The 22160-nt window shown below is 35.8% G+C and overlaps 1 protein-coding gene across 1 annotated transcript in view, besides 3 other annotated features; it reads left to right on the forward strand.

The window, feature by feature from the left end:
* MGST1 (microsomal glutathione S-transferase 1) overlaps window positions 1-22160 on the forward strand; it is a 246217-nt gene that overhangs the window by 99933 nt on the left and 124124 nt on the right. The window lies entirely within an intron of this gene.
* Window positions 2911-3485: an enhancer, noted in NCBI's record as "OCT4-NANOG hESC enhancer chr12:16602892-16603466 (GRCh37/hg19 assembly coordinates)". NCBI's record gives its function as "activates a minimal SCP1, AML or CMV promoter by ChIP-STARR-seq in primed H9 embryonic stem cells {active_cell/tissue: H9 hESC(primed)}" and the evidence as "EXISTENCE:reporter gene assay evidence [ECO:0000049][PMID:30033119]".
* Window positions 3486-4058: an enhancer, noted in NCBI's record as "OCT4-NANOG hESC enhancer chr12:16603467-16604039 (GRCh37/hg19 assembly coordinates)". NCBI's record gives its function as "activates a minimal SCP1, AML or CMV promoter by ChIP-STARR-seq in naive H9 embryonic stem cells {active_cell/tissue: H9 hESC(naive)}" and the evidence as "EXISTENCE:reporter gene assay evidence [ECO:0000049][PMID:30033119]".
* Window positions 10064-11955: an enhancer, noted in NCBI's record as "VISTA enhancer hs607". NCBI's record gives its function as "enhancer in: neural tube[4/7] | hindbrain (rhombencephalon)[4/7]" and the evidence as "EXISTENCE:transgenic organism evidence [ECO:0001131][PMID:17130149]".

Raw genomic sequence — 22160 nt, forward strand, 5'->3', positions numbered from 1 at the left:
AACTCAAGTAATGCAACTTTACTCAGCATGGACCGTCACTTTCTCCAGACTTCTAAGAGATGCCATAGCAGAAAATTTATGCCTTTCCCTGCAGTCCTTGTCAAGTGTTAAATCCCATGGCCTTATATCCTGAGAGGATGGCTCTAAATCAATAAACTCTCCTTTATCTAGTTTCATGTCCTGCCTCCTTGATCAAAACTCTTAAAACCAGTCATTTATCCAAATATGCTGGCTAATCATTGAAGCTCTTTTGGGGGTATAGTGTCTTTCCTCACCACTCAGGTCTGGTATAACCTTGAGTTGCTTTTGATATAATTTAACCCAAAGTTTGGGCCTGGCATTTAGGAGATGAGATGAGGGAAAATCCTGAAGATGACCCTGTTGCCTTGTGGGAGAGAGGACTCTGCAGTGTTTTCTCATATGCAAGAAGGGTAGCTGTGAAAAAGGAAGGATGCACTATCTCTGCAGGATCTAAGGATTTAGAAAACTTTGGGGAACCCAAATCTTTGGGTGAATAGGTGCATCTGACTGATCTCATATGTCGGGATACCAGGGATTCCTAGCAAGGGCCCCAAGCTTGGCATAATAGATTTGACATAGTTAAACATTCTATACACTTTCCCAGCAGCCACTTTCAGCCAGGCATCCTGGAGGCTCTCCTGGCACTTGCACAGCTCAGATATTCAAGGTCCTGGTGGAAGATTATGGTGCTCACCCATGGGCCTCCCCTTTTTCATGGGCTGTAGGCCTCAGTTGCTGTCTAAAGCCTACAAAGAGTTCCTTTATATATTTTTCCAGATTTTCTAGTTGCTTATGGTAAGAACTTAATTTCAAAGCTGGTAACTGCATCAGGGTTGGAGCTGGAGGTCTCAATCAATGATTGCTGAATAAATAAATTCATTGCATTTGAGATGCATCTGGACATCTTGTATGTTCTGATGAATACACTGAGTAGGCATTGGGAGTCATCTATGTATGGTAGTAGTTGAAAGACACTGTACAGGTTGTCGAGATATCCAATGAAGCTTATAAAAAGGCCAAAGAGAGAAAAATGTTAAACATTTTAAATTTTAAAATGAGAAAAGAGCAATATTGAAAGGACAATGAGTACGACAATTAAGAAAAGACAGAAAGAAGAAACATAAATATTTTATTTAAACATTATTGTCCTTCAAATTAACAAATACTTACTGAATTTCTCCTATAATTTATATAATTAACAAAGAAGAGATTGTATGGATTTGTGGGTGAGTCAAGAATTAGGGTTCAATGAGGAAGAATTTTTGAAAGACTAAAAGTGTTGGGTTTCAGCCTAACTACTTAAAACATAAAGCAGTATAGATCTGGAGGATAGGGTTAATTCAGTCATCAGCTAAGCAAGGGCAGGCTTAAGACTTTGCTGCTATGATGCACACGAGATTATCAATTCAAAAAATATCAAGGTGGAAGAAAAACAGTAATGGTTCCAGAATTTTCATAGTGATGGAGATTTGGGGCAAAAATATGGTTGAAAGCAAATTCAGAAGACTTGTCTGGAGGTGACATTTCTCCATAAACACACTTTTAAAATTTAAAGTCTGTGTTATAGATGAATAAAAATAATCAGATTGATGATTTCAAACACATGTTGGCTGACTCTATTCTTATTTACATAATTATAGCAATTGTTTAAATTGGGATGGTTTTGTGAAGCAGAGGATTTTGGAGGACCTTTATTTCTCTCCAACTCCACCCCAAGCTATCCTTATCCTGCAAATGCAATGCATGACTGTGTTAATGAAAGAGGAGGCTGGGAGATTCCACATGAAAGAGTGAAGTAGGAAACATTATCCCAGTTGGTCTGAAAGGCATATATGTACTTTAAGAGATATCATTTATAAGAAGAGAGGGGGAAGGTTAGATGTTTAAAAGCTGAGCTAACAATGACAAGAATAGTCCATAAAAATGTTGGTAATTTTAATCCTAGTGAAACAGGAAGAATAATGATGCTATGCAGTCTTACGTTGAACTCTATGTAACTTTAGTTGTTATATTAGGCCATTCTTTTGCATTGCCATTAAGAAATACCTGAGGCTAGACAATCTATAAAGAAAAGAGGCTTAATTGGCCCACAGTTCTGCAGGCTGTACAGGAAGCTTGTTGTCAGTATTTGCTTCTCGTGAGGGTCTCAGGGGACTTACAATCATGGCAGAAGGTAAACGGGAGGTCAGTGTATCACATAGCAAGAGCAGAGCAAGAGCAAGAGTAGAGAGGTGCCATACACTTTTAAGCAATCTGATCTCGAGTAAACCCACTCATCACCAAGAGGATGGTGCTAAATCATTCATGAAGGATCTGCCCCAAAACCCAAACACTTCCCGCCAGGCCCCACCTCCAACACTGGGCATTACACTTCAACATTTAAGACAGGACCCCCACTCAAACCATATCAGTTGTTAAGGTGAGTATACAGTAATACATGTCCAGGTGGATATGTTTCATAGTTAGTGAAAGGTGTACAATTGGACGAAGAAAAATCCATGGCCATCTGCCTGTCTGTGACATAATAAATGCTCCATGTCATTGTTCATCAAAACAGAATGGCAATAAGCAAGATCAACTATATTGTGATGCCAATAGGGGGCCCTGTGGCTTTGTGATAAAATCCTACTCATTTATTCAAATTTTGCCCCAAAAGAACCATATAATTAGCTCCATTAATAAACAAGTGAGTCCTTCCACTCATCCATCTATCCCCCCATTCTTCCATTCTCCCATTTAGTGCCATTCACCTTCGTTCTTCATTAGTTAACAGTGAGAATACTCAAAAGGCAAATAGCTCTGCAGTTTTCTCTCCACCTCATTGGAATTGTGGGAACTTTTATTGAGTGGTGAGGGTTAGGGTAATGAAACTTGGAAAACTGCCATCCTAGGATCCCTCTGTGCTACCAATATGCAAATAATTTAACAGTAATGCAGTCAAGAGTTCCCTGAGTAAAGACTCTCCATTTTCATCACTGTTGGTAAGTGCCAAGAGGGACAGATGAGAATAAGTTATAGCCACACTGTGACATGTAATAAATCTTCCAAAAGAGGTTTACATGTACTCAGCTCTTTGGCTTTTATCCTGTGTATGACACTTCTGTTTGCTTTGCATCTAAGCAACAGAAAGTAATCAGCTGCTAAGAACTTAATTATTGGTTGCACGGATAACCCTTAGGGTGTCTGTGTCCAGTCACTTGGGCCTCCTTCTACATCTCTCATCACATAAAGCAATATGTTTCCCTGAGTGCCTGCCTCTCTGGAAAGCATGGTGGTTCATTTCTCCTTCAAGAGGAAGACAAAGGGCTGCTGAAACAACAAAATACAATGAAATGGCTGTTCCTTGGGAAAATGAGCCACTAATTGTTCTTGATGACTGAAACAAAGGAAGAGTCCTAGGGCTAGAAATCACTCAAGAGCAGAGCCTTGATAACAGTCAGAAGCTGAGAGGTAGAAAGTGTAAGGAATTCTAGGGAGAGGAGTGAGAAAATACTGTAACAGGCTTGCAAAATCCAACTCAGAATCGCACTAGTGTATTAATGAGACAAGTTAAACCAGTCACACTCCCACCTCTTAACCAAACTGTTAACACAATTTAACACACTTTCAAAGGGGCACCCCTATGATGTGCTAATGAAGTCACTTTCTTCCCAGCATGAGTGAATGGGCTTTTCCCCCTTTCTTGAGCTCTGTTTGATCAGGAAGACAAAATATTCAAATATCTTGTGAATGTAGGAGGCGGTTAGGATGGTTTTCAAATATATATATTCCGTGTGTGTGTGTGTGTGTGTGTGTGTGTGTGTGTGTGTCACACACGGAAACTGAGACATAAAGGACCAAATCTACAGCTCAAAGTTAGTACAATTATCTGAATTTGAATTGGTTTTCTGCTTCAGCTTTTCCTTACTGTTATTTAAATGCTGTGAAATTAATAAATACTGTTTAGGAATTTTCTCTTTTAGGATTATAAGTAACCTGGAAAATAACAATAACTGAAATGCTCTGTAATTTGTAAGCAGTCAACAGATGTATAAGTATCATTTCAGTTTTCAAAATTACATTGTAAATTGTTTGAATTGGACTTTGAAACAATTTTTCTTTTAACTATAGGTGGTGGATACATTCTAGAAACTTGCATCTTAAAGCAATCAAACAATTTATTTTCAGTATAGATTCAAGACTAAAGCAATCTCCGAATAGGTATTGTTTCACTTAGATAGCTCCAAAGACAAAAACTAGGTCCCATGAGGCTAAAACAGTGGTATGCATAGGGGGGTTTATTTTTACTATCCTTTAAACTGTCCACATACAATATTATACACACGCAAAGATATACAAAATACACTTTTTATGCATTACATATTTCAAAATAAAAGGAATTCTCAAAAAAACTTTGTTCCATAGCTGAAATATTAAAATAAATTGAGTAGAGGCAATGCATTTAGCATTCTTAAAAGTTTCTTGAAAGATTTTATAGAAAAACTGCCCATTATTCTAGTTGACAACAGTTATATGAATTTTTTAAAAAAGAAAACCTGTAAAAAACAAAAAAGGTCTTTAAACTATATGATATACAGATCACTATCTATATTTTTTTAAGAGCATCTAAACTTTGGTGGAAAAGGTTTTATAAGTTCTTATTGCTCTTATAAATCTTTGTGGTTATGTGACAATGATTCATGTAATATTATTGCATATCTGACTTTGGCAGTTACCCATTACACCATGTTAACATATTTCAATAAGTAATCAATTTGGTTTTCCAGTACCCTGATTTAATACAGGTTTCATTATTTGCCTAGTATTTATGTTTTAGGCATGTTTTCCATCTTAGTGTAGGACTGCCCTTTTTGCATTAGCCATTTTAGGATAAAATACTTAATAAGATTTGCATTTAAAAAATGAACTTGAGGAACTGGACCCCCTCCAGCCAGAGCAAGTAATTATGCCATTTGTATTGCAAAGCAGGAGTGGCTATAAAGCAATGGTATACTTTTTTAAAGATTGATAACCCTAAGCAGTATTATATTACACATAAAATGGCAGGTCTGACAGAGGAACTAAACGTGGGCAGTGTATAAAATCCTGAGAACTGTAGAGAGTTGCAAAGTCTTTACTTTGTCTTTCTATAAGATAGCCAATTAGAAGGAACTGATTATGGCTGATATCTTTATTTCCTATAACATCCCTGTGTCATATATTGGTCTTGTCCTAAGAGAACCCTATGTTTTTGTAGATAGCAAGATTGCCACATCATATACTAGTGGATGCTCTCAAATTCACTTCCTTGTATTCAGAGGCTCAAATTAGATTGTGTCTATAGGAAGTGGCCAAAAAAAAAAAAATGGAAACTGTTTGGTTGTCATCATGATCACCCTATCCACCAAACTGAAATTTTCCATTGCTGATAAGAACTCAAAGCTCGCAATATTATTACTACTAAAGAATACAACAGAGAACTTTATTGAGCAGCTCAAAACTATTTAAGATACTTGTATTGAGATACTCGAAACTATGTTCCAAGTACTGTGTTAAGTATCTGACAGTATTTATCCCATCAATCCTCACAACAACCTGGCAAGTTTGGCAGTATTAGTCAAGATACCCAGTCTAGTTTAACTTTAGGAGTGATGTTTTTAATTATTATGGTAAACTTATTTAAACTAAAAAATGTTTTAAAAAATATTCTGAAGATATTTTCCAAACAGAAGCATCCACGACTACGTTTCAGTGAATTACAGGGCATTAAAATGTTCTGGCCTTAAACTGGGATCTTTTAAACTAATAGCAGTCCTAGTGGTTTTTAGAGGAAGGTTTTATAAAAAGATGTGCCTAAATTATCAATCATGGTCTTTCTTTAGGATAAAAAGATACATGCCAGGTTGTTTTTCAGGCATTGGCCAACATATATTTTCTTAAATTTGATTAAAGTGTTCCCAATCTTAATTTAACAGGATTCACATCCTCATGAAGGAAAACACTAAAAGAAATGCAAAGCAAATGAGAAAAGTAGTCTTATAAGAAAAACAAAATTCCACAGAGGCAACAAGCCAGTGTGACATGAACCAAGAACACTGATGGGGAAAACTTTGACTTTTCCTATGAGCTCAGTAAACCCATTTAGGGAGTTGTTAAAAACTGAGAGAGGCAATGTGGAGATAGCAACGTCCTTTTAGACTTCAAAGAGAAGGAAATATGTTTAGGACCTTCCTGATATAAAAAGCTGTTAAATTCTGAAGCTTTTCCTTAACATTTATTCTCGATTCGAGACTCTAATGTTCAGTAATTGGATTCCATGTTTGATTGTTTCATATTTCAATCAGCAGCCTACTTAAAACAACAAGTCAATCAAATGAATATTCTGGTAGTGTTTTTTACATTATTTATATATACATACAAACAAATACATAAATATCTACATACATTTATATAATAAAGACAGCTCAGCAATTTTTAGTTAATTATGAAATAAGGTATATCAGTTTCTTAGGGCTGCTGTAACAAAGTATTATAAAATTGTTAGCTTAACAGAAACTCTGAAAGTTCTGGAAGATAAATGTCGGGATCAAGGTGTTGACAGAACTGGTTTCTTCTGAGGACAGTGAGGAAGTGTCTGTTCCATGCCTATCCCCTGGCTGCTAGTGGTTTGCCAACAATCTTTAATGTTGCTTGACTTGTAGAAGCTTACCCTCATCTCTGCCTTCATCTTCGCCTGGCATTTTCCCCATGTGCGTGTCTATCTACAAATTCCCTCCTTATAAGGACATCAGTCATAGTGAATCAGGGATCCATGCTACTCCACAATGACCTCATCTTAATACTATATCTGCAACAAGCCATATTTCCAAATAAGACCACCTTCTGACATGAGAGTTAGGACTTCAACATGTAGATTTTGGGGAGACAAAATTCAACACAAGACATAAGGTTAACTGTGAAAGAAAAGGGATGTTTAACATAGAAAGTTAGAGTTGGTAGGAACTTTAGAAACCTATACGACTTTCAAATGGGAATGCCCCGGCCCAGAGGAATCAGGTGACTTACCAGCTGATCACACAGCCAGTGGCAGAGCTAGGACTGGGATTCAGATTGCTAAGTTCAAACACAATACGCTTCCCACCACCTAGGTTTCAACTTACTGATAATAGAATACTTGTACAAATGATTTCATTTAGGAACTATTTTTTCCTGGTAGGCAAATTACTTTGTTAAATAAGATTTTAAGGTTTGGACTACATATTTCACATACTTTATGGGGAAAACTCTGGATGCTTCTCAAGAACAAATATGTTAAATTATTAAAAAATAAGAATTTAATCTCTATTTCTCCTCCTTCTAGTGATGATTAAATAATGAGGGCATTGTGCAAAATACTCTACTTATACTATTTCAATTTATCTTTATTGAAATCTTAGAGGGTAGATCTCATTATTCCCATTTTAAAGATGAGGAAGAAGAGAAAGATGTTAAATAAATCTACCAAAGTCACCCGATAATAAGTTACATAGCTAGGATTCAGATTGGTTTATTTGACCAGAAAGTCTTTTTTCCTTTCAACTATGACAAGCTGTTTCACATATTTCATTTCTGACGTCACAGAATAACCTGTAGAAATGTAGAGGAAGAAGAAGTCAGAGATGAATCATTTTAGGCATAATATTTCTACTGGAAAATATGTCAAGCATGTGAGTAGAAATGTTCCTTGGGTAGGGGTGGATAAAGGGAAAATTCAAGGCATCAAAACTGAACTGTCAATGAAACCTGTAATTAATGTAAAAAAATCATCAGTAAGTTTAAGTAGACCAAAAAAAAAAAAAAAAAAAAAAAAAAAAAAAAGGAGATGGGAAGATTTGAGGAGAACCAGGGCAGGACAGTGTCAGATATCTCACATTAAGAAGAAAGTGAAGGAAGAGAGGCTATTGAACTAAATTTTGTACTGGAAACAAATCTTACTCATTTTGTATCATTAGTACCTAATCTGCATTAAATAATTAACAAATATGTGTAAAAATGAAAACTTTGGAATTGACAGTGGAAAGCATTTTAAATAGAATTTTGAGGACAATGATAGGATGTAAGTCTATCAAATATGCCTAGTTTCATAATAGTCTACCTACCGGTTTGAAAAATAATAGCCAACATTAATTGAGCACTTGCTATGTTTCAGGCTGTTCTAAATAGTTTGTAGGCAACACTGCATTAAATTCTCTCAACAAATTTATGATATGAGTACTATTTTGATCTCCATTTTTAAATGAAGAAAATGAGGTTTAGAAGCCACACAGTAAGGGGCCCACTGGATTATTAGGAGCAATCACTCTTAACCACTGATTTCACCAAGGAAGAAGAAATGTTATAAGAAGGAATTTAGTTCACTTTTTTTTTTCACCTAGCACAGCACTTGGCAGGTATTTAATAAATGTTGGATAAAGTTTTAAGTTATGTTTTATTAAGGATTGGGTCCATGGAGATGCAGAATAGCACAGGGGAGTCTTCAGAGGATAAAGTAGATGATGCTAAAGAATGAAAAGAAACAGCAGAATCAAGAAGCCTCATCAAGTGAAAAATAATCTATGCCTGAGCATGGATAGACAAGGCAACTTTTTGTGAGAAATACTTCATCATCTATTGCTATGGTTCATCACGTGTTGAATTTCAGAAATCTGTACAAGAAAGTTACATTTATAATGGCCATGAAACCCAAGAAAAAATTCCTTATTCCTAAAGTTTATGTTTTGCAATCATCTGTTTCAAAAAGTTTCAAATGTGAAGCATATTGTTAATAGTGTATAACCATAAAATTTTCAATAGTAAGTTATTGAAACAAAGTAGATGATGCAAGAATTACTTAGGGGTATGTGTGTACGTGTGTGTATAGGAAGAGTCATATTGAACTATTAAATGCAAAAATATTTTTGTTAAAATTGTTGGATGCTAAAATATATATGCAATTGCCTTGATATATTTGAGCAAGTGTTCACTTTCTATGTCAAATATAGGTACATGTTTATTTAATATTTATTGAGTTTCTGTTATATGCCTGATATCGTGCCCGGCTCCAGGATGTCTCTATAATTTTAAAATAAAAAAATTAAAAACCTGCTAGTTACAGTTTGTTAAACCTTTTGTTTATAAACTCTGGAAATATGTAGTGTTCCTATTTTTCCCCAATTGGAGAAAGTCGATAGCTAATTCTTGTAAATGCATATAAGTTATTGTCAAATATTTTCTGAATGTTAGATAAAATACATTGTAGCCCCAAACCATCATTTATAATATTAATCATTAGTTGTCAGAAGCTGAATAAAAAAATATAGTTTATCTTAATTTTTGAAAAAACGTTTTAAATCTTAATTCTAATTTTAAAATAGCTATATCATTAGCTCACACAAATATTCTATCCAAGTACATAAGCCATACCCTCTCAGACAATGGGCTTAACTCATGGACTGAATTAAAAGTTAGATAGGAATATGAAAAGACAAACTTACTTAAGGAACATCAGTAGTTATTTCTACAATAAACGTCTTTTTCAATCACTACTATTCCAACAGAGGTTGAGGGCTCAGGAACATTAATCTAATTCAGTATTTTGGAAGTATTATAAATTAACACACAAACTGAGTCACCTCCCCTACGTACTCCTTAGTTTATATTCTCTAACTCATAAAAAGCACCGTCAACCTTTGGGCTTTTTTTAAATGGCAACCTCAAGCTATTCTGAAGTCCTCATCCTTATTCTCTCCTCAGCCAATCAAATGTGAAATTCTGTCAATTCAGCTTCTGAAAACTGATAACTTGCATTTGTTTCTCCACTTCTTCCTTAATTTGAATGTTCACCCTCTAACCTGGACTAATGCAGAGTCATTAACAGCTCTCCCTCTCTTTGGTTTACTCTGTTCCTTCCAGTCCATCCTAAATGCACGCGTGTCCTAAACCTGACTTGTCACTCCGTGCATAAAGGCATTTTAAGTTCCTCTACTGTTCAAAGAATTTGGACCATCCTTTTAATACAATTCATATAGAGAGACTCATGGTTTCTGCATGGGTCTTCTCATATCCAGGCATTAATAAAATAACTGACATCACTTTAACTAAATATTTTTACGACAAAATTCTTACTAATGCATACTTATTAAATATTTAGAATTACTCCAATTACAGTCCTAAACTCCTTTAGAAATATATGTGTTCATAAACATGTACATTACATTTATATGTATATACATTTACATTTGATTTTGTTTTAAGAAACTTAGGAGTGTGCTCTAAATTGTCGTATTAATTCAAAGTTGGTCATCTTATTAGGCTGCAAAAAATGTGGCCTAAATACCCTAGTTTATAATTCAGCAAAGTGCTTGGAAGAGGCACAGTAGGAATGATGAATGGTAAAGATGGGATTATTACTCAAGTCTCATTTGTGACAGTTGACTTCCGTGATATTTATCTTACATTTTTCTTTTTGGCTGTGTGTGTGAGTGTAATACACTTTATATATTAGCATTGGTCCATCTATTATTATATTGGCAGCAGGAGATTTTCATTGATTAGTTTCTCTCTATTTGCTTTTTCTTTCTCTAAACCTTCATGCTGTAATGCAGAAGATTTATTTTCAATGATTTATTAAAATGTAATTCTAAGGTGACTCCTTATCAAGGAAGTAATCTGCAGGCTATCTTTGTTTAAACTTGCAAGCTGCTTTGTCAAGGAAAACTGCCTATGAAATTTTCATTATAATAGACAGCTTTTCATAATGAATGAAAAACAGCTATTATGATTGAAAACAAATTGCTCTGAAACATATTCTTTGAAACAATGTGCTGCTTAATTGTATTTTGGAGGAGGGGGAGGTGAAGGCAATTCTGTTTAATTGGTTACATTTTTCAGTTCTATAAATTAATTTGCACTACCCAATATCACTTAATTTTTCCCTAGGAAAGCTTTTGCTTGCCCTAGCAATATTATAACTGCTAATTCAATTACACTGAAATTGTTTAATAGAAAATATAATTGCTTATTCATACAGAATACCCATTAAAGAAGTGCAAAAGCGTGAACCCGAGGGTTACTGCATATTAATACTTTGGGAATAAAGATGGGAATGTTGTGCAGCGAAGGTGCCAGCTGATCTTTAATTGTTCATCACCTGCCTCCAAAATAATATGAATGGACCCAAACTAAATGACCACTCATTACAAGTTTCAATTTAGGAGCTTGGCTGGGGTCAGCAGATTGCTTATGCTGATCGCAATGATTTGAAGTTGTGATTACCATAAGCAATTTAAATTTTATTGATCTCTCCTTCTGAAAGTTGTAATTGAGCATAGATGTTGGACCCAGAGTTCTCCAAACTAAATTGTACTCTGAAGCCCTTGCTGGATTCCTGCAAGAATCAATAAGCAGTCAGTCACATTAACAATGAAATAGGTCCATTAACATACGATGCTATTGGTGAAACTTTATTTAGGAAGGGTGTTAGTTCACTTCATTGCTTTATCAATGAATCTTGGCTGTACAAGGAAAAGTATTGCTTTAATATGTGTAATAAGCTTGTATGAAAATGAAATTATATATTATAAACATGGAATATCAGTAGGTAGGCAGTTGAGTATTTATATGAGAGTTATTGTGACTCATATCATCATTTTACTGTAAACAGAGGTTTCATATGACTGGAATTGCAGCTTGCCTGCTGCAGTGCTTTGCAGTTATTCGGAATTTTTATTCTTCTTTATTAGATACAAGGTTTCCCTCCATCAAGGTTAAGTACATCTTGAAGTCTCCATGTTCAGTGATAAGTAGTGGCTTGTTAGGAAAGCTATATGACCTATCCTGCTGAGCTGAGAGCAGGGAATTCTTACAGAAATCTAAGTAGTTCCAAGCTATCTGAGGCAGAATTTCATACCCAGAGCACTGCTGAGCCTTGTTAGCAACCCTGGCCTACCTATTATCATCAAATTAGAAAATGCTTTAAACGACAAAAGTCTATTAAAACTTTATGATAGACAGGACATTGGGAATAAGATTTGTCCATTTTGAAGGCAATTAAAGAAATTATTCTGTTTATTTTTCTAAATTTAATCAGTTATTATTTGGTTCTTCCATTCACTTCCTTTCTACTTCCTAATAGAATGATGGATAGTAAACTCTTGAAGATTCCCAACCTCCTGGAAATTTTAAATCTCAAGAAGTGTGGGTATAATAATATCATCACCTAAGAAACTTGTGGCTAATACCATGAGCTTCAAAGCCTCTAAATGACCTACGGCATGGATTCTTTAACTTGGTACAATGTGGTGAATGAGGAAGAAAATGGAATCAAGAACCTTTCCATTCAATATTTATTACCCTAGTTAGTAGAGATAAACATTATTTCCTTTCTCCCTTTGGTTAGCCTGAGTTACAGATGATAATCTCCTTTAAGTGATCCAAGTCATAGGTCATGGATCCTGCAGCCCTTTATTATTTAAGAATTAATTTAATAATGGTACACATAGACAAATTTTATTTTTGGATCTTCCTTGCTGAGTAACAATGTCTAGTTCAACTGGGGTCGAGAATGACCAAGAGGTGGGAACAGAATGTCAGATCAAGGGCCAGGGAGTAAAGTAGAGAATCTTATCTTGATCCAGAGAGTGCTGCAGGTTTTTACTAGAGTGTCACACAGAGTAACTCTGGAACTCAGCTTCTCAACCACATCTTTTGCTCTCATGACCTTGATATATACAATGCCCAGCAGGAATTTAACTTTGCGTATGGCCTGGATTGCATGTCTCTCCTTATGGGAAAGTCTCCCGTGGCGGTTTTGCTTAAATGACCTAAAAGAGGAATAATGACCCACATAGAGATATGGAAAAGGCATATTTTAGAAATCTGAATGCTACATTTTAAAACCTTCTGTCTTGTAGAAACAGAAGGTTAATGGATTAAAAATGTGACTTAATCTCTCTATGCCTCACTTTCCTCAGTGGTATAAGAACAATAGAACATACTCTTATAGGAATGACATTGGGATTAAATAAAACAGTCCATGTAGGAAATTTAGTATAGTGCCTGGCACAGAATGAAGTCTTAATAAAGGTTAGTTGTTATTAGAGTGTCATATGTCTGGATAGCCTTGGATAGCCCTGGTGTCTTATTAACAGTGTGGCAGTGCAATGTTTGGATGAAAACCTAAATGTCCACTTTAGCTATTATCATTCAATGAAGCAGTGAGTGGAGAGCATGGCATATACATTTTCTGCTGGAGGAATCGGGAATGGGAATGGAGAGAGTGCTTGAAGACTTGTGGCTGGTGGGAGGGTTAGAGTTCACGGAAGGCCAAGGTGAGGTGTGCTATCCAAAACATAGATAGGTCTCTACAAGATGGGAAGTTGCTGACTATTTTCTCTTACATATTCCTACCTTCTTTAAAGATTTTGGTTCCCCTTCGAATGGTCTCTGTTCTGACCAGGCATCCTCCTCTGAGTACATTCCCACTCGGCTTGAGCCTGCCTAGGGCTTTTGTGTAGGCATCTAATTCAGGTCAGTTTTTTTTTTTTTTTTGAAAAATATTTTATATTCTTGGTGGTGGTGTTAATCACCTCCAGTTTAATAACTTCTAACTCATTCTCTACGCTCCATCATCAACAATGTTAGATCTAAATTCAGGCTATATTGTAATAGCCTTGTTTTTAAAAACAGGTAGTTATTGAGTAGATGATTAAATGAATTAACCCTCATAAGCGCATGTGTGTTTTAATAGATGTCAGGTGATGCAGTCCCTTAACCTTAACAAAATACTCTTAAATGGTAACTTTAGGCTTTATAGCAGGCTGTTAAAGGAGATACTATAAAGCAAGAAGCTTTCTGGGTATCTCTTAAATCATACGGTATTAGTAATTATGTGACCTTTTTGCAGAGTGGAAAAGGCTTAGGAGAAGATTCAGAGGAAGATATAGAATAAATGAGTGAAGTGGATGTGGAGCACATTAAGAGTGAGACAAAATAGAAGTGATAAAGTAATAGAAACAACAACAAAGACTATAGAGTAGAGTGCTTTGGAGACAACTAAGTTAAGAGGATAATGGGTTATTTCAATAAATTGGAATATTGGAAAAGAATGCCCAAAGGAAAAAAAAAAAAAGCACATCATAACATCACTGACCTTGTTCAAACTCAGGCTGCCTAGGTTACTTATGGCATTAAAGATGCAAATTATTATTAATCCATAGATACCCTGAACACTAAGGGGATTTAAATTAATTATTTTTCTGCATTTGACTTATATAGTTATTCTATATTACTTAACTTCTAGATCTTGTCAGACTCACTAAGGTACATCATTCCAAACAGTTTATCAGACGTACAACCAGAATGGTTTTCCAAGCACTTCTTATGCTAACACTTGCCTGCCAAAGATGATCCTTTATGACTCTTGGATGTTTTAAAGCATGTCAATTTATTATTAAGTCAATATTTTGTCTTGGCACCAACAATATAAAAACTCTCTAGGAAAAATAGGTTCTTTGGATAAGAGTCTGTTTCTAAATAAACATGAGAAGGGGTTCGAACCCATGAGAAAAAAACATTTCAACTCTCCTTGAAAAACACATGTGCTTTTCTTGCTTTCCAATTATTAGCAAAAAACAGAATATTAATATGTGTCTCAATTATCTCACAGGAACATTGACAGAATAATTGAAACAACCTGTACCCAGAACAACTACACCAAAACAATTGGTTGTTTTTCCTGGGTATGACCTTAAAGACACCATAATCGTCTTTATCATGTATTATCGTCTTTATCATGTATTATCCCCAACCACCTTTTAATCTTACTTGGTTTACCAAGATGATTAGTTGGCTTGAAATAGCTATTCCTAACAATAAAGTATGACACTGAATTCCGGATATACCTTGTTTCATGTGATTTGAGGATATATGAGAAGCCTGTTTTCCTAAGGTCTCATCACCCACAGATAATCTGACTGAGGATATGGATCTGAACAGCTGGAAAAAAAACCTGTGATCAGCAATCACACACTTTATGTTAATTTGCTCCCCATCTCACCTTAGATACTACTTCATTATTAAAAGTACATTTTCAGAAAATTGGGATACTGTATCTACATATGCAGATATGAATATGTTTCATTTTCTAGTTGTTTGGAGCTTTTGCAAGCATTTTGCATCAGTTAAATTTTTAAACTTCCAACCAACCTTCTTCAAGGAACAGGGTGAATATACTATTTTTAAACAGATGAGAAATTTCAAGTAAAAAGATGACTTTCATAAGGTTATAATAAGTCCATAGAGACCTTCTAGTTCTTGATCCATTAATATAATCTACAGAGGACAGCATTTGCTGTCTTGTGTAACACAAGCAAGTACATAAGATAAAATAAATAGTACATCAATGAACTCTAAGTCTTTATGAAACCCATCTTTTTAGAATGTATAAATGCATTAATATTAAGGTTCATTAAAAGATGCACTTTACCCCCCCAAAAAAAACTAGGAAAAACCTTTGTTGAAATTACAAACTACAGAAATTCTGAAGTCACAATTTTTGCTGAGATAATAGAAAGAATCCTGGCAGAAGTTGTTCTAGATGCAGATTCAAATCAATTGTTTATCTTATCTTGATTTGATCTTCATTTAGTGGCAGGGTAAGCATCATCTTTTTATAATGTAGAAAACTGAGACACAAAGAAAAGGAAAGTGGTAACTTTCCCAAGATCACGTGGTAGCTAACTATAAACTAGAAATAATACTCAGATCTCCTAGCTACAGGTTTGGCGTTGTTTCTACAACATTTCAGGAAAGTGTGATGAGATTTTATTCCTCTTATGGTGAAGCTTTGCTATTCTTTCACTTCCTTTGTGACTGATAACTTTGGCAAATCTGATATACCCGCTGTAGACTAACTTACATGTCTTCTTTGTTCTCTCCCACCCTTTCTCTCTCTTGAAGATCTTCTAATCTAAAACTTAAAGGGTAGTTGAGCAACACTTCATTTTTACTTGTCAATCTATTTTTTAATGTTATGTTGTTTCTTAAAAAACTAAGCAAAAGGAAAGGCAGAAAATTAAGAGACTAATACTGCTTACCTCTCCCCTTACCTTACCCCAACACCTAGTTTTCTTTTTTTAGAGATGAGGTTTTCTCCGTCAACCTAGAGTGCAGTGGTGCTATCATGGCTCGGCTCACTGTGGCCTCAAACTCCTGGGCTCAAGCCATCCTCCTTGCCTCAGCCTCCCAGATAGCTAGGGTTACAGGTGTGCACAACCATGTCCAGCTTCACTTTTTTCTTAAGAGAAAGAGATTGGCAATAATTTTTTTAAAAGACCGGTGAAGAACATTCGCTGTGAGGTAGTATATGCTCTGGGGGTGGGGGGAGGGAGGGCATCAGGAAGAAGAGCTAATAGATGCTGGGCTTAATACCTAGGTGATGGGATGATCTGTGCAGTAAAACACCATGGCACACGTTCACCTCTGCAGCAAACCTGCACATCTGGCACATGTACCCGTAACTTAAAATAAAAGTTGAAGAAAAGGAAGAAAAAAAAAGAAATCAGTGAGGCAGAGTTTTTTTTTTTAAGCAGAAAAAATATTTTGCTCTTAAAAATAGATTCTACTTTGATCCTTTGATCTATATGAATATTGAGCCTTTACACTTGCTTCCATATTTTCTACCCTACGTAGTGTGAAAATAAGGCACAAGACATTCACTAATAAGCCTGTTTTGTTGTCTAAGTACAGCTCATCTTTGCTTCTGCCTCTTGGTCAATAACTACCACAACATATTTGAAAAGAAAGATTACTTTAACGTTAAATGCTTTTTCGAATTTCAAAGTATCTTCTCTGTGATGATAGGAAGTCATAACGTATATGACTGGCTATCACATCATTATCTTTGGAGGCCACAGGGCATGGTTGTTAAGAAGCATATTTGGACTCAGTAGGCTGGGTTCGAATGGCAGTTTCATTACTCGTTGACTATTGAAATGTGAGCCAGTTACTTGACTGTTATACTTCATCTGTGAAGTGGGTATACAAAGACTTTATAAGTCATAAGAATTATGGGAAATAATTTACATAAAAGATTGTTTTTTAATAGATCCTGCACATAGTGAATGGTCAACCGCAGTTACTATGAAACACTAAATGTAGCGGGAACACAAAGTACCATTTATTTCATTACATTTCCGCCCATTTTCATGTTATCTAATGCTGCAGACAGGCAAAACTTCCAAGCTTCATCTTTCTTTTCTCTGGCTGGTAGCAAATAGAGAAAAATTTTCTGTTGTTTTTCTTCCTTTGAAAGGAATGGGTAGTTTTTTCTGGTGAAAGAATGATTTCTTTCACCCTCACTGTGATTTAGTTTCAGATAATAATATGATTGAAAAATTTAAATCTAAGAGCCTGTAATACATAATTAGCCATGGGCTGTGTGTGTTTCACCAAAGGGCAAGTGTCATGTTCAACCAACAAGCTATTAATTGTTGAAATCACAGAATAAAGCAAACTAGCCTTTTAGAACCATGTAGTAGTCCCTGGATTCCTATGCAAAGGTACTCACCTATATTACTGTAACCAATAACATCACAATTTCAGTGCCTTAACATAATAGTCATGTTTCCTCTTCAAGTGACAGTGAGTTCAATGTTCCTGAATGGCATGAGGTTTTAGGTAATAATTCTGATAACTGAGATTCTTCCATCTTGTGGCCCCTCCATGCCCTAGGGCTTCATAGTCCTTTGCAATGTATGTAACAAGCTTAAATAAATTTTTCAATAACTTATACACATAACGCCAGGGAAACTCTGAAAAACAAAGACCTTTTGATTCCCATCTGACTGCTTTCTATTGGCTCATGCCTCATTTCCCCTTGTGCACACGTATTTACCTGACACAGCAGTGCTCTGTGTTGTTTATACTTGGAATAACAAACTAGAAATACTGTACTCCTGTACCAACACTGCCTCTGAGAAGAGAAGTGTGCATGACCAGCCAGGTCTCCAGATGTAACCTAGGTGTGAGACTAAAAGCTTTCTTTATTGACTTAAATTTGAGTAATGGCAAGAGGAGGGGTGGTGGTATGGTTTGTGCTTGTACAGGGAAGAAGAACTCTACTGACTTGTAGGAAATAATTTTTGACTGAATCCTTTTGAACTCAAAACAGTTATGAAAAGCAAGGTGAAGTATATGGAGCTGTTTCTGTCTACATTTAATTCTGACGAACCTACATTTTATGGGAAAGTAGGACCAATCGGATTCAACTCTAGCCACAACCTATATTTGAAGGCCTAGGTTTAACTGGTTAACATTTAAATCAGAGGTCCCCAAATCCCGGCCAGTTGACCGGTACTGGTCCATGGCCTGTTAGGAACTGGATCGCATAGCAGGAGGTGAGCGTCGTGAGTGAGCATTGCCGCCTGAGCTCCGCCTCCTGTCAGATCAGCTGCAGCATTAGGTTCTCATAGGAGCCGAACCCTATTGTAAACTGCACGTGACGGATCTAGGTTGCACGCTCCTTATAATAATCTAATGCCTATAAGGTGTCACTGTCTCCTATCACCCCGGATGGGACTGTCTAGTTGTAGAAAACAAGCTCACTGATTCTACATTATGGCGAGTATGTAATAATAATAGAAATAAAGTTAGCAATAAAGTGCACAATAAATGTAATGCATTTGAATCATCCCCAAATTATCCTCCTCCTTCCCCCACCCCAATCTGTGGAAAAATTGTCTTCCATGAAAGTGGTCCCTGGTGCCAAAACCCTTGGGGACTGCTGATTTAAATGGTTGGAGATATTAGTGCATAAAGTATGATAGTTTTGTTCCCAACTCAGTTACATCTTCCCACACCCCTTCGACCATTGTCCCTTTGGCCCTTTTTTCTTTGTATGTGCGTTCTCAGTTAATATATAGCTAATAACTCTTATTTTTCTTATGTTTTAGACTGTTTACGCTTATCTGGATGTAAGAATGAAAATTGACTTAGTGGAAACACTTGCATATGTGTAAAGACCTAAATGGTGGTTCATTCAAGAAAATTAATCTGTGTAATAAATGGATTAAAACAGCCATAAGTTTTTTTAGAGACACGTCATTTCTGATTTCTGCTCACATTCATTGGCAGCTAGTCCCATGGCTGTACTGAGCCTCGAAGGAGGCTGGCAAGCATAGTGTAACTTTGTGCCCCAGAAAGAGAAGGAATGAATTTGTGATTTGTGAAAGGTTCAGGAGCTTCACCCCACCATCCCTCTCTCAGGATTCTGAAATTTTTAAATAGCTGGCGAGGTCAAGGCTACTAATTCTGATGAAAAGTGAAGGAATCTACTGTATACAACTGAAGCTTGATAGGACACTTTAACATAATATGTCATTACTGAAATGTGGCCATGACAAAGATGCTAACACAGCTTCCTTTTGTCATCTGGTCTTAGATTTAAAACCTTGATTTAATGAAAGTGTTGATACCACACTGAAGAAAAAAAGACTGATTTTTTGGGGTCATTAAATATGAGCCACTTGAATAAAGGAAGGATGGTCTTGGATAGGTAAGGTAAAGGGTATAGTTTATATTAGCATGGGACAAAAGGAGAAACTACAGAAACCTACAAGAATCCCAGTGAGATACATTTTTCCTCTGGATAGAAACCAATAGCAAAAGTAAGGCAAGGGTTAAATAATTAACTCTCTATTTTCTTTCTTTTAACACACTTTCTCTTTTGTGTCAGACACTGAAAAGCATGGCCTCAAACTTTGAACACTTTGAAATTTCCTCTCTTTTTTTCCCTAAAGATTTCACATTTTCCACAATTGTGTTGCACTGATAACTATCACTCCCTTCCCTCCACTGATAATCCCAGTTTTATGTAACTTATAAAAGGCAGTCTGACCCCGAGACTTCATAGCAGGTAGCAGATGGCTTTGGTGGATGCCTATGTCTGCTATTAAAGTAAAAAGACAGGAAGCAGCACAGACAGTGTTCTTTTATTTAAAAAAAAATTTGGGTTGTCATGTGATATGAAACACAAATCTAAGAGCTTTCAGCAATCACAAACCTCATGTAGTGTGATTTTCACTAGAAGGTCAATGTAATACCACCTTCAAGTCTGCGTGAAAGATGCATTGCATGAAAGAAAAGATGGTGTTTTCTGGTCTACTACTTATACATGTAACAATTTATTATACAAAAATCAGAGTACAATTCAGACAACTTGTGAATGCTTATTGAAGTTGCCAGGCAAAAATATGCTATTCCATGCCATATTAGCATTTTCTGGTTTAGGCCAGCTGATCTATTTGAATTAGGTTACATAAACCATCACATTCAATATGTAAGTTGAACATGTATATTCAAATATTTTTCCTTTTAAAATGGAACTGTGACTCATATTATACAGAACTTACTCTGAATAAAGTAAAACTAGACAGATTGCAGTGCTTTCCCCCAGTCAGCTAAGAATTCTAAGAGCCCACAGACATAACAGTGAGAGTTTCAGGTTTGTTTTCAATAGTCAGATGTGTTGCTTATTCCACTTTTAAAAAGTTCATAGAACTCATTAATACTTTTATATACCATAATCATTCACCTTCAACATTTGATATTGTGTTTAAAATATGACTTTACTTAATTATTTTCAACAAGCACTTTTCCGGAGTATCCACCAGTCAGAAACACCATTTCAAGTGCTCTGGAACCTTCTGCTTTTACATATTAATAATTCCCAAACAGAGTGTCTGCTTCAGACATTAGTTTCTGAAATAGAATTGAGTCTTAATTAGCTCAAGAGAAACTCCTACTTAAGTAGTCTTAGAGAAAATGCACTCATTTCCACCTCTAATATATCCTCCTGTTGTTTGACTGTGATGAGAATGGTCTTTTAAAAGAGGCCTCAGGTGTGAAACCAACTGTTGAGGCTCATTGTCAGCTGCTGGTTTCTAGAGTATTAATTCAAAATTAGGGAAAATATAAGACTATGTCTACATTGGCCAACTATCGCAAAACAACAATTTTCAGTTAAGGGTGCAGCATCCTCTACAATGCCCTTGAGGAAGATTCAGAAGCTCATTCTATTTCCATCTGCTTCCATCATTAGAGAATGCAGTTGATTGATTCAACCTCTCTAACAATAAGAACGAATGTTATTTAACTAAAAGGTGAGTATCGGCATCATATCTAGGTCAAAATGAACACAAATAAGCTTGCTGTTTGTCAATTACATATCTGTATATACATATGCAGATTCACAAGTATCTATACAATTTTTCAAACATAGAAATTATACTTTTTATGGTTTGAAGGCTGAAATGACTTCATTTGTATCGGGTCTCGTTGTTGGATGAAAAGTGCAAAAGAAGAATGAGCAAAAGAACAGCTGCTGTCTCCTCCAATCTTCCTATCAAGAAATGACACTGAGTACTCATCTTACACATCTTCTACATCACTCATTTAACACCAGATATAGTACATTATGATCAACATTTTTATTAATATCATCATTGGAGGTCTTGAGTGTATATAGCTTATTTCATCAAAATATGGAATGTTGCTTGTGGGTAAAACGTATATATATTTTAAATCCCTGTTGGGTCTGTTGGAGTGCTATATACAAAGTAGGCACTCAGAAAATATTTGTTGTAGGATAGATTAATTAAATGCTTAAGGCAAGACTGCTAATTGTCCCCTAGTATTTATTCACCCCTTCCTATAGGAATAGAAGCTCCATCTCCACCCTCTGGTGTTAGGACACATGGCTGTCTAGCTAGGGACTGCATTTCTCAGCATCACTAGCAGCTAGATAATCTGGCCTGTGTCCAGTTATTTCTTATGACACTGCTGTCCTCTGCTTCTTTCACCTTTTCAGGTGTAGTGATCATCCAGCGTCATGCACAGTAGATGAGAAACTCCTAGGGGATGGTAGACAGACAAGGTAGAAGGAATTTAGATGGAGCAAAATTATTTATGTGTTTGAACCTCCCACCTATTCCTGCACTGCTAAATGTGAGAAAACAGAGTTCCATTTTATTTGAGTGAGATTGCATTCTGTGATATCTTTGTTACTGCTGCTGGGCTAGCACTATAACTGACATAACATGCATAATGCTCTATTCCTTTTTTTTTTTTTTTTTTTTTTGGAGACA

This window comes from Homo sapiens, chromosome 12, assembly GCF_000001405.40.
Source record: "Homo sapiens chromosome 12, GRCh38.p14 Primary Assembly".
Classification (NCBI taxonomy): Eukaryota; Metazoa; Chordata; class Mammalia; order Primates; family Hominidae; genus Homo; species Homo sapiens.